The 12,787-nt window shown below is 37.0% G+C and overlaps 1 protein-coding gene across 14 annotated transcripts in view; it reads right to left on the reverse strand.

Moving 5' to 3' along the window:
* DOCK4 (dedicator of cytokinesis 4) overlaps nucleotides 1–12,787 on the reverse strand; it is a 480,290-nt gene that overhangs the window by 302,865 nt on the left and 164,638 nt on the right. The gene's annotated exons all lie outside the window — the stretch shown is intronic.

Below are 12,787 nucleotides of genomic sequence, written 5' to 3' on the forward strand. Positions count from 1 at the left end.
CAGATACCCAGTAGTGCTTATCTTGCAATGTTATTTTGCAAGTAAGGTACAATTTTGAGTTTTTCTTCTTCTGTTTCTCAGCATCTGACCCCTTCCAGCTGCGCCTGAAAAATCCATCACTTAGTTGGTGGCACCCAGCTCTGAAATGTGCCTGCTCATTCCTTGGTTCTGTGCTCCATCACTGGCGTCCACTGGATCCAACACATCCTGATAAGTTAATCATTGTGAATGTGCAAGTACAGAAAGGCTGGATGGCCACTCCCAGAAAACAAAATCTCAATTAAACCTTCCGTGTGAAGAATGCACATCCACTCTTCACACCCCAGCATATCTGAGTCTCCTGGCAACCCTAGAGAAGAAAGAATGTTTTTAACCTCTCAAATTATGCAGCATAGAATTGCTTCTTTCAGGCAGGTTCTGGATATGAAACTGTTGTATAAAAATGAAAATCCTAAACAGCCTCAAAGGGAGGAAAATAAAATGGGGGAAAAATAATTCATAAAATGTTACCATTCATTTGCAGTACGAGACCAGCAATTGGTGTTTGCAACATCTTTTGCAAAGTCAAACTGAGGTTGGATGAGAACTGTTAGTAACCCTTGAACCTCCATGCTAATTTAAAGGATAGAACTTGTCACTCTGGTTGAATAATCTAAAATGTCAGCCAGCAGTCACTCTTGAACTTACATGGAAATTCATTAGTTCCAACAGACAGCAGTGTTAATGGAGACGGTAATTGCACTCACTGGGTGGTTTGTTTGCATGTGTCCACAGAAGGAGATACTAATTCGAACCAATCTAAGCCCACTTAATTCTTAGAAGTATAAACTACTGATGCATCACAGAAAGAAATTATTTGTGCAAAATATGGCTAAAATGAAACAGTATCATGATTCATTGTTTTTCTGAATATTCATGACAATTAAATAGCTATAATATCTCAAAAAAGATCTGAATATCTAAATCATTCCAAATGTAACTTTCTGATTCAAAATGACTTGAATTTGCTTTCTTAATAGAAGCAAAGCAGCTCCATAGGAGAACCATTACATCTGCATGAAAACTTCATGGTATCAAGAACCCTGCTACTGGCATGTCACATCTCCAATTCAAATGCTGGCTTCAGATTCCTACTGAACAATATAGAGGATCAGGATCTTCATTTTGCAGAATGCAGAAAAGATGACCTTTTAAGCCTAAACTAGCATTTGGGAGTGTAACAGCAAGCATACAGGAATCTGTTTTCTAAGGAGAACACACCTCAAGACTGAGAAAAGGGCTGGGATGAGCATTCATGTTGGATTTGAACAGCAAATGCTCAAATCTGAGACATACATTCAACTGTACAAACAAAATTCCTGCTCAAAGTCAACTATGAATAACCCACTTGGCTGTGTTAGTGCCGCCTCAATTAATGCAGCTAAATAATGGATTAACATCCTTCAAGTATTTCTAAACCACAATGAAACTACAAAAATCATGAAACAGGAGCAAGGTGGCTGTAGTGAACACACATTGTTGGTGCAGCTTGCCTTTCATCTTTTCTAATAATTATATTTATTTCCTGTAGTTTGAGGGTTACAGGCCCCACACATTCTACACCCTCTCATTTGGGCAATGAGAAAAGTCTTAACAGACTCTTCCTTCAAACTTTAACCAGAGTTGGTGAGAAAGATCTTTCATCTTTTGGGACTTTGAGCTCTGAGACAGACGAAAGCCTAGAGCCACATGGACAAAGCTTGCTAGAAGAAGTCTTCACAGAGGGATGGAGAGAGCTCTGATGATACAATGAACTCGTGGACCCAACAGGTGCTGCAGCAATAGGCTAAGTCAGCTCCTCAGATTTCTCAGTTCATGAACTTTTTAAAAGCAAGTTTGAATTTTGGGCGATTGTCATTTGTAAAAGCACTGGCCACAATCTATGGCAAATACTCAGGAAGAGGTGCAATGTAGGACAAGGATGATGCCTTTTAAGGCAGAAGTCACTGGTCCATGTTCTCTCGTGATTTGCAGTGTAACATAGTGAAGCTATGCCTATCTGTCCTCTTCATGTAGTACTGCCAACCAGAACAGGGCAGAGGGAAAAACAGCAGGAAGATTATACAAATAGAGGAGCATCATACTACCACTATCTATTAACAACTAGATCAAAGAATCAGACACTAGCAATCACAAAAAAGCAAGAAAGGATGACACTGGATCCAAGGATGTGGAAAGAGGGGTTGGTTCAGACACCTAGCAAATAAGGATGGCCTTCAGCCCAGTGCATTGCCTACCCAACTGAGACATCCTTCACATAGTCGTTCCACTCCCTGTCTTGTCTGCTGGGTTTCAGTGGAGTTGAGCATCACTCCTCACCTGGTGAAAGTGAGACACCAAAGGCTTTTGTTGTTGTTTCTTTAGGAAACCTTAATTCCACTTTCTTATCTTCACAGTTTTCTTTTCCTTTTTTCCTTCCTCCCCTCCCTCCCTCTTCTCTGTCCTTCCTCATATAAGCTTTATAGTGTTAAAGACTGATCACATCTTCCTACAAACTTCTCAGAAAGAAAACCAGGCCCAATTCTTATAACCTTCCATTGTGTGCACTGATTCCTAACCTTTAATCAAGTTCCAGCCTCTTCCCTCACTCCCCACCACTCTTTCTTTTCTCTCTCCTGAGCTGCAATTCATCAACTGGCTTTTTTGAAAGAGAATTTGCTATGTGTATTTCATCACTTCAAGCCTCTTCAAATTAATCTTATTGCCACGGGAAGAGTGCTTGCTTTACTCCAGAACATTCTTAAAACTATTAAATGAACCGCTGAAACATACAGGTTTATAAGAGAGATGCTGACAAACCAGAATTACAGTGAGGTGAACATGTCAAAAAAGTGTCTCCTGATGAAATACTGAAAGATACATGCACGGTACCTTACAAAGTCCAACAAACAATTCAAACGGTATTGCTTCCTGGAAATCAAAACAAAAAGCATGTCTACCAAAAAAGAAGGCAGTGGGTTTGCAAGATAAGACTGGTCATTATCTCCATAGGAACAAAGCTGGAAAATACAAGTACAAGCGCTGAATCCACTGCTGTCTGTGGAACAAAATTCCCTAGAATTTTTAATCTTGTTGTAAGACCCTTAAGTAGGTCATAGCAAGCTTAGAAAATTTTGATAGCAAAAAAAATGTGATGGGTGACAATGTGTACATCATCTTGGAGGAAAAGTATTTTGTTATTCTGACCCAACCTCAACTGCGTTAACATTATGAAATATTTAGGAAGAGAATAAACAAAAATATCTAGTCAAACACAGAAACTAAAAAAGTTCTGTGCCATCTTCAACTAAAATGTTTGATAACTAATTAAGTATAAGGTGCTGCTTATTTTAAATTGGCAATCCGAAGTGCATGGCTATCAACTACAAATTAAGAAGTTATTTATACAAATAAATGGATTAGATTTTTAGGAAAACCTTTCACATATCACTATAATGATGTTTCACATAAATGCTCTCCTTGGCTTCCATTTCTGAGGTTGCTTGCTTTATTTTTAAAAAGGGCCTTTTTGTATTTTGGTATTTGTTGTAAGGAACCAATGAAGGATCTGTCTTATTGTGAATTCCTCCCTACACAACAATGTGTTGCAGTTAGATTCCTATGCATGATGTGAACACCATATAGAACAGCAAGAAATTGCTGAAAAGTAGGCCAGATTTTATTTCCAGCCATATCATTGTGATTTTATGTTGTTTATCTTTATTGGCTCATTTTCCCCAAAGCCCCACACTTGCCTTAAAAAGGTGGAGGGATAGGAAAGAGGTGAAAATAAATGTACTACCTTTTATTCTAGCTTGGAATTAGCATTTAAGCATCCACTGAATAATTTTCTCTAATATATTTTACTTTCCATGAAAAAAAAAGACATCCTAATCTCTGAGGAAAGAAAAAAGTATCTTTTTACAACATTCCTAAAGGGGAAAAGAGGCATTAAAGTGCTAATTAATTTAGCTAACAAATGTAAATAAAATAAAGCTCATTGTAATAACTTCTGACTTCAATCACTAAATATGTCTGTTTATTTTAGCAATAATCTGAGTAAGCAAACAATCTAGTAAGAGACACAGTATATTTTAAAATTTCCAATTTTTATACTGCACATATTTCTGAAAAGCTCAATATAAAGCAAATAATTCCAAGTGAAATACAATATGCAGACAGATACATCATAATCTAAAAATAGGCCAAGCTTCTTCATTGTTCTAGAGTAGAAAAAAAATGGGCTAACAAAAACAAATACAAAAATAATCATTTTTATGGCCCATTACCTACTGCTTGAGGCTTAAAGAAGAGAAAGGTGAAAAAGCACAAAACTTCAAATTTATGTGGATTTTTGAATACTCCCAACCCCACCACAAAAAGCAAAATAAAACCAAGCAAAAATCCCTCTTCAGGGAGAGTAGCAGTAAATGCCTTTTATTCTAACAGCACATGCTACATCCTGCTAATGAATTCAGCAGTACTTTTCAAGGTGTACCCTAAATTACTTTCTGAATTTTATTTGCAATAATTTCTCACTTTCATTCAAAACTCAAACCTTACCCTCTTTTAGGCTGTATCACTGTTTTCCTGACCTTTTCAGTTAGGACTGTACTTACCTTTCTTGACTTCATGGGTTATGACTGCTTGACCAGCTTTCATGGTCACAAAATTATTAAAACAGTTCCGCTAAGGAAATGGATGGAGAGAGCCAGCACTAGTTTTCCAACATTCACACTCATTGCCCCAAATAACACAGTCCTTGGAAATCTGAGCCACTACATTCCTGTTGAAGAATCATAATCTTCTTTATTCTTGAAAAAATAAGTCTTAAGAGAACTAGTAAGCTCAACATAAAAACCACATCATCATTAATGTTTCCGTGTGAAATATAGTGCTCAATCTGAAGCAATACCTAGAAATAAGAGTTCTCAAATGATAGCATATAAACTTACAAATCCTGCAAGAAAGGAGCACATTTTCAATTCATGGGCTAATCCATTGTGCTTTTGATTGCGTTTTGGCTCTCAGCTCTCTCAAACCTAATATTTTCACTTGCATACTCATATGGGAAATACAGAGAGAGCTGTTCATGTGTGCATTTTGAGGGCAGGATGGAAGGAGAAAGAGATGATATACAAGGCTAAATCATCTGACTGACTGAGATAACCACAGTTTTACAATGAACCAGGTAACCATAGTGGAATCAAACACGATTCCTGAATCTCCTTCTTCAAATGGCTAATAAAAAATTTTTAAATATCTTTTTAAAGGAACTAAGCAAGAAAATGACACTATACGCTATTTTTTGAAAAGTGGCAGGTGGAGGAAAGGAATAAAACTCTAGCATGGCTCTGAATCTGGCCCGTGTCCTCTGCCCCACACATGGTAATGAGGAAAAAGGATCAGCTGACTAAACCCTGAACATCCTCACTTAAATTCTCTAAACTGGAGAAGTTGAATTGGAATTGAAAGTTATAAAGAAAGAAACAACCCTTGAGACTAGACTCTTGTATGTACGAAGGCACCCTGACCACATTCCAAGATACTAAGCAGAGTTGGAGTCAAGTTGAACCACGCATGGCTGCATGGAGTGGGCAGGGGCCTAGGGTATTCAAAAAATTTTGGCCAGATGCGGTGGCTCACGCCTGTAATCCCACACTTTGGAAGGCCAAGGCGGGTGGATTGCTTGAGGCCAGGAGTTTGAGACCAGCCTGGGCATCATGGTGAAACCCCATCCCTACTAAAAACACAAAAATTAGTGTTTGGTGTGGTGGCGTGCACCTGTAATCCCGGCTACTCAGGAGGCTGAGGCAGGAGAACTGCTTGAACCCGGGAGGCGGAGGTTGCAGTGGGCCAAGATCCTGCCATTGCACTCCAGCCTGGGAGACAGAAAAAATGACTCAGTCTCAAAACAAACAAACAAACAAAAAAAACAACTTAAAGGAGAAAGATGGGGTAACCAGCCATCTTTTTATGCTCTGAACTGAGGAAGTTTCTCATGATGTGGGACTTTGCATGCTTCATCTAGGAAAGTCCTGGACACACGGAGATGGTCAACCCAGACCCAGGACCCCTAACTGTACTCCATTCCAGCTGAGTTCTCCCTACCCTCACACCCTTGGATTAAAAGCACTGCATTGAAGCTAACAGCCAGCCCTTAAATAGTAGGTGGGGATTTGGAAGACAAATTAGTCCCAGATAAAGTAGAAATAAGATCAAGTGAACTCACTTCTGCGTGGTCAGAGCACACAGATGATGTGGAGAGTGGCCTCCACTATGTATGAGTGAGATGAAATGAGGACAATTATAAAAATATACTACAAAAAGAAAAAAAATCTAGCATGCAAAGACATATGTAAACTAAGACTGTAAGAAATATAACCCCAGAAACATAAGAAGACTTTCGGTGAATGTGTCACATTCTATAAAAACTTCATAAAACTATGAATTCTATAAAACAAGGACCAAAGACTAGAAGATAGAACAAAAGACCAAAAGGGAAGACTGTAGAAATCAGGAAATGCATGGAAAACAGAACAATAGTATTATGCAGTTAATAAACAAATTAGAAATAGCAAGGGGCAGAGGAAGTGAAAATCTAATTAATGGCATGGAGTAGAGAGAGAATCACACTGAGTGCAGCAGGAAAGACAAAGAAATTAAAGGAAGGAGAGAGAATGTAATACATGAAGAATTCAGATAAACAAACATAAAGATGATTGTTGTTCTGCACACAGAAGTGTTCATATTAAAAAACAAAACAAAACCAGTCACTACAGAAAATTACAACACTCATTTAAAAAAAGCTCTCCAGAATAAAGGAAGAAGTCAATGTGCAGACCAAAAGGGCATTCCTACACCAGCAAAAATTTAAACATAATTTTTAAAAAATCGAGCTATAACTTGAATAAGTTTTTGAACAAAAGAAAGAAAAAATTGTTCTTTGATCTGGGATCTTAAAAGAATAAAAAAACTTCAAGTATCAAATATAAAAAGGAAGTTATCTACTAGAGGGAGAAAGACAAGAAAAATAGGCTGACCACAGATATCTTCACAATAATATTCAGTGTCAGAAGACCCATGTCTTTAAAAAAGGAAACAGGTATGACCCAAGAATATTAAATCCAGCTAATCTGCAATTCAAGCATAAAAACAAAAGGCAGGCATCTGTAAACATGTAAAAACTCAGGAAATAGCACATCCATGAGTCTTTCCTTAGAATAAACAAACCAAAAAAAAAGGACTTGACGATGAAAATTTGGATAAACAAGAAATGAATAAAAATAAATAATCAGACATGGAAAAACTGTGGCGAAAGGATTAATGGTGAGCACAGAATCCATTTAAATATAGAACTAAGACTAAACAACTGGGGCATTATGATTGCAGATCAGAGAATGAATGTTGTGAAACCTGAAAAAAAGAAAAAATAACACAAGCAACATAAAGGGAGGTGGGAGAAAGCACAAGTGTGTTAATCTCTGGTTTCATAACAGGGAGACAATATGTAATAACTAAAATGTCTAAATTTCATTTGCTTTTATATTTTTATGTTGAGATATATATAACAAAGGGTACGGATCTTAGGGTGCACAGTGTGATGGGTTCTGACAAATATATATACAGACAATTCCCAACTTACAGTGGTCTTAGAGGATTTCTTTTTTTTTTTTTTTTTTTCCGGAGACGGAGTCTCGCTCCATCGCCCAGGCTGGAGTGCAGTGGCATGATCTCTACCCACTGCAACCTCCACCACCCGGGTTCAAACGATTCTCCTGCCTCAGCCTCCCAAGTCACTGGAATTACAGGCGCCCACCACCACACCCAGCTAATTTTTGTATTTTTAGTAAAGAAGGGGTTTCACTATGTTGGCCAAGCTGGTCTCATACTCCTGACCTCAGGTGATCCACCCGCCTTTGCCTCCCATAGTGCTGGGATTACAAGCGTGAGCCACCGTGCCCTGCCTGACAGGATTTAACTTTACATGATGTGAAAGCAATACACACTGACAGTAGAAACCACACTTCAAATTTTGAATTTTGAACTTTTCCCAAGCTAGTGATATATGGTATAATGTTCTCCTGTGATGCTGGGCAGTGGAGGCAAGCCATTCTGTTTTTCACTTTCAGCACAGTATTCAATAAATTACATGAGATATTCAACACTTTATTACAAAATAGGCTTTGTGTTAGATGATTTTGTCCAGCTGTAGGTCAATGTAAGTTTTCTGAGCACGTTTAAGGCAGGCTAGGCTAAGATAAGATGTTCAGTAAGTTAGGTGTATTAAATACATTTTCAACTTAAGATATTTTTACTGTACGATGGGTTTGTCAGCCTGTAACTCCATTGTCAGTCGAGAAGCATCTGCAAACTGTAGCTGTTTAACCAATGCCCCAACTAGGATATAGAATGTTACCATCATCCCAGAAACTTCCTTTTTGCACCTTTCCAGGTAATCTTCCTCCCATTCATCTCATAGGCAACCACTGTTCTGATTTCTATGACCACAGAAAAGTTTTGGCTGTTCTTGATCATTATATAAACGGACTCATACAAGAGATACTCTATTATGCCTGCCTTCTTTTGCTCAATATAATGTGAAATATATCCATGTCATTGTGTATATTAATAGTCCTTTTAAAATTTATTATTCCATTACATGACTATACAGTTTCTTTATATAATTTCTAAGTATTTATGATTAGGAACAAATCTGAACACTCTTGCACTTTTTTGTGGACATAGGTTTTCATTTCTTTTGAATAAATACCAGCAGAATTACAAGATCATTAGATAGGGGTAAATTTAATTTTATAGGAGATATTCTTTCATAGGGTCTATATCATTTTACATTTCCACCAGGACTGTATGAAAGTTCCAGTTGCTCCATATCCTCATATAAACCTTATAGTTTTAGTAGTTTTAATTTCAGCCATTCTAATGGTTATAATAACATTATGGCTCCAACCTCCTAATTTTTTATGATAAAATTAATCAGAAGTCAAAAGGTTATCCAGTTTCATTTTATTAAATGTAAAGGTTTAAACTTTAAAATAGCATGGACAGCATGTTAGCATTGTTATAAAATTATTCATGCCTGTCTACCTATCCATTCATTCATCCTTCTATCCGTATATTTGAAGAGGCTGATATTTCCCAGATCATAACATTTTATATCTGTCAAGTAAGATTTGGAGGTGCTTTGTAACTGTCTTCTTTTTATTTTTCGATGTTACTTGGATTTTATAAAATGAGTACATCTCATTTTTTAAAAATATGTAAAGCCATTATTTGTTGTTTGGGGGACTGGGAAGCCATAAAGCCACATAAATGTGCACAGAGGAAAAAATATGGAGTTGAGGTCAAAGTGCTTTTGAAGAATTAATTAGCAGGCATATCAATAGGTCATCTCTATTTTGGAGACTTTTGAGTCCTCAAAATCTTTTTAGGGAGGAGCAATGAAAGCAGCTGAGTGGTGACAAATACTAATGTCACCCTGCTACATAATTGGATCAGGGCTGAAGATCAATATGCCAAGTGAGGTCAAGAACAGCCTGGAGGTGACAGTACTGTCACTCTTGTGCCACCACTGGCTGTGGAGCTTCAACTGCACCCAGGACAGGCTACCCACTCAGTGTCATTAAGTGTGTGTCTTGACAACCAACACCAGCGGGTCACATTTCTCCTCCAAGTGACCAAAGTAACAAAAAAAGTAAAATGCTAGGAGAAGAAGCTAGATAATTCTCAAAGAAGTCAAACTCTGTTTGGTTCTAAGGAAAGAACATAACCTTTGGAGCCAGCTAGAGCTGATTTAAATCCTTGTTCTTCAGTCACCAACTGTAATGTTTTGTGACTACAAGCTATTCCAACTCGACAGGAACTCTTTTAAAAAGGCAACATATTAGACCAATGTCGCTATCTTCTAGGCCTAGGAAATGGTGCATACCAGCAAATTTATCCATGGCAGTGTTCATGTTCATTTTATGCTGCTCCTTTGCTTCTGAAGAGGTAGTCTAGTTTTTTCACAGTACAAAGTGAATAACAGGAAAGGGACTTAGATGGAGGAGGCAGAACAGAGAAGCCAAGAGTGTTAACATTCTCTTACCATGATATATTATATTGTTTCCGGCTCAGTGAATCTCCAAGATCCCCCAGAATCATCATCCATATTTCAACACACACTTCAGATGCATTCCACTCTTAAGTATAAGTGATGTCGGAATTGTCTCCAACTTTTACATTATTATTTCAATGAAAATATGTTTACTGATTACCTACAGTGGAAGGAACCCTGCCACAATTCCTGCTGATAACATTGAATTACCAAGCACTTACTGTGATATGTAGAAAACTGAAGGTTTTAAAGAGGATTTCATATGGGGGGGGGGGCTTAAAGATGCAGAAATCTAGTTATAAACTGTCATTCTTCCACTTTTTCCCTTAAGTAATTGCCTACTTGAAGTCTTCTGTTTTTTTGTTGTTGCTGTTGTTGTTGTTTTTATACATTATACTTATCCTTAAACTAACCTCGGAATGATGAATGTAGGAAAGCCTTATCTTTCTGAAGGATTTTCTGACTCTCAAATTGCTGACCACTTGCCCCCCGAGCCAGCTTTACCTAGGTATATGGGCTAGAGTAGAGTCGCAGACATCTCCTGTTTGGACAGAACTATGTTTAAAAACAATTATAACTACTGCCAACATTTAAGAATTAGGAGTTTTTCTCAAAAAAAAAATTTAATTTCAGCTTTTCCTAAAAAATCAGAGAACCTAGTTACTCCACGTCTTTATTTCCCATGTTAATAACTGAGTTTGAGTTAAATAATAACACCTGATCCCTTTACCTGGAGAACACAGTCTCAAATTATTCCTATAACTTTCACCTAGACCTCTATACTCGTGCTTGGCCTCAGTTAGCATTTAAGTTTTCAGACCCTACCATACAACACATTTATTCTATTGTAATTGCCTTATTCATACTGCTATTTTTACTAATAAAATGTAAGTGGTTTGGGGCCCAGACTTATAACTTACCTTGCATGTAACCCACTACCTGGGAAAATAGACTCTCTCTATATGTATACTGACCCAATTTTAAGTGAGGTCAAAATGCTTTAGAGAAAGCTTAATGAAACTGATATTAAACAACAAAAAGCAATTGAATGGAAATTCTTCAACAAGATTCTCAAGCAGTAGAGATTACATTTCTAGTTTCTGTACTATGAAATCTTAGCTTCTAACTCATCAGAATTCTAAAGAGAAACACCTTCTTATTTAAGTGATACAGGGGAAATTCTACCACATGTAGACACTGTACTTTGGTTTCAAAATGTACAATAATAATGGCTTAATTAAATAAATCATTCTGCCCCAAACAGAAGAAATACTAGACAGCATTAACAAGGATGTTGTAGGAGAAAATTTAACTGCATGAAAAACTGATCAAGAAGTATCATTTGCCAAGGCACAGTGAACCACTATAGACATTTCAATAGATAGTTGTGGAGGCACAGTGAACCAGAACAGACATTTCAATAAATAACACAGATGCTGAGGTATGGTGAACCAACACACACAGCTCAAAAAATAGGTAGATGATGAGCCACGGTAAACCAACACACACATTTCAGTAAGTACAGAAGATGCCGAGGCACAGTGAACCCACAAATACATTTCAATAAATAGATACATTATTAGGCACAGTGACCCAATACACATTTCAATAAATAGGTAGATGCTAAGGCAGAGTGAACCAAAAAAAAAGTATCATTAAATGAAAGGAGCAGATTCTAAAATAGTTCATGCAGTATTACTCCATTAAAAAAAGTGTATGTAATTACATTGTGCATTAAATTTGTGCATATGTATATGTTTATGAACATGCATTTAAAATGTCAAAATACATGCAATGTCTGAAAAGACTTTAAAAAGTCTAAGTATATGCAGTGTCTAAAGTAGTTATCTCTGGATGACGGATTTAGAGGTAATTTTTTTTTTACGTTTTTGACAAATGATCAAATATAATTTTTTGGTAAGACAATGATAACATATACCAGCTCAGGCTCAGATGCAGCTCTGAGTTGAGATGTCTGATGAACTATTTTTCTTGGGTTTAACAGGGAAATACTGTTGAACACTACTAATAAAAATCCTTCTGGAGTCTCCAATACCCATCTATTGTGACAGGAAGGTCACAGAATGCCCAATTATTATAATTCTTTTCAGAAGAGGTGAGACCCTGAGGTGTAGCTGTCAGAGTAGATAAGAATATGCAATTATGAAGTTAAAAATGTATTTCCTCTGACCTGAAGGAATACGGGAGAGAAGAAAATGGGGTCATGGTATATTTCCATATTAGCCAACGTTTTAATCAAATCACAACCTTTAACAGATTTTTAAGCATAACAATATGCTGTAATTCAATGTATATGAATACACAACAAATTTCAGATGAAGGTTGGTGGGGTCTTTGACAAACTCACCATTCCATGGATAAAAAACAATTTCAAAAATGCTGGAAGTTAATTATGCCAAATCATATAATTACTGTGTAACAATAAACCTGGGCATAAAATCCACATCTTCAGATTCCAAACCCAATACCATTTCTACTCTACCCATCTGTTTCTTGTTCCATTTCACCATGGGGGTAACACAGGATTGAAAAAGACTTTTTAGTAAGTGGTTCCTGTTCTGTTATTAACTTACATTTTGGAAAAGATACTTCCCACTTATGAGTTTCCTTTTCTCATCAATAAAATGAAGG

The sequence above is a fragment of the Homo sapiens genome, chromosome 7, assembly GCF_000001405.40.
Source record: "Homo sapiens chromosome 7, GRCh38.p14 Primary Assembly".
In the NCBI taxonomy this organism is placed as follows: Eukaryota; Metazoa; Chordata; class Mammalia; order Primates; family Hominidae; genus Homo; species Homo sapiens.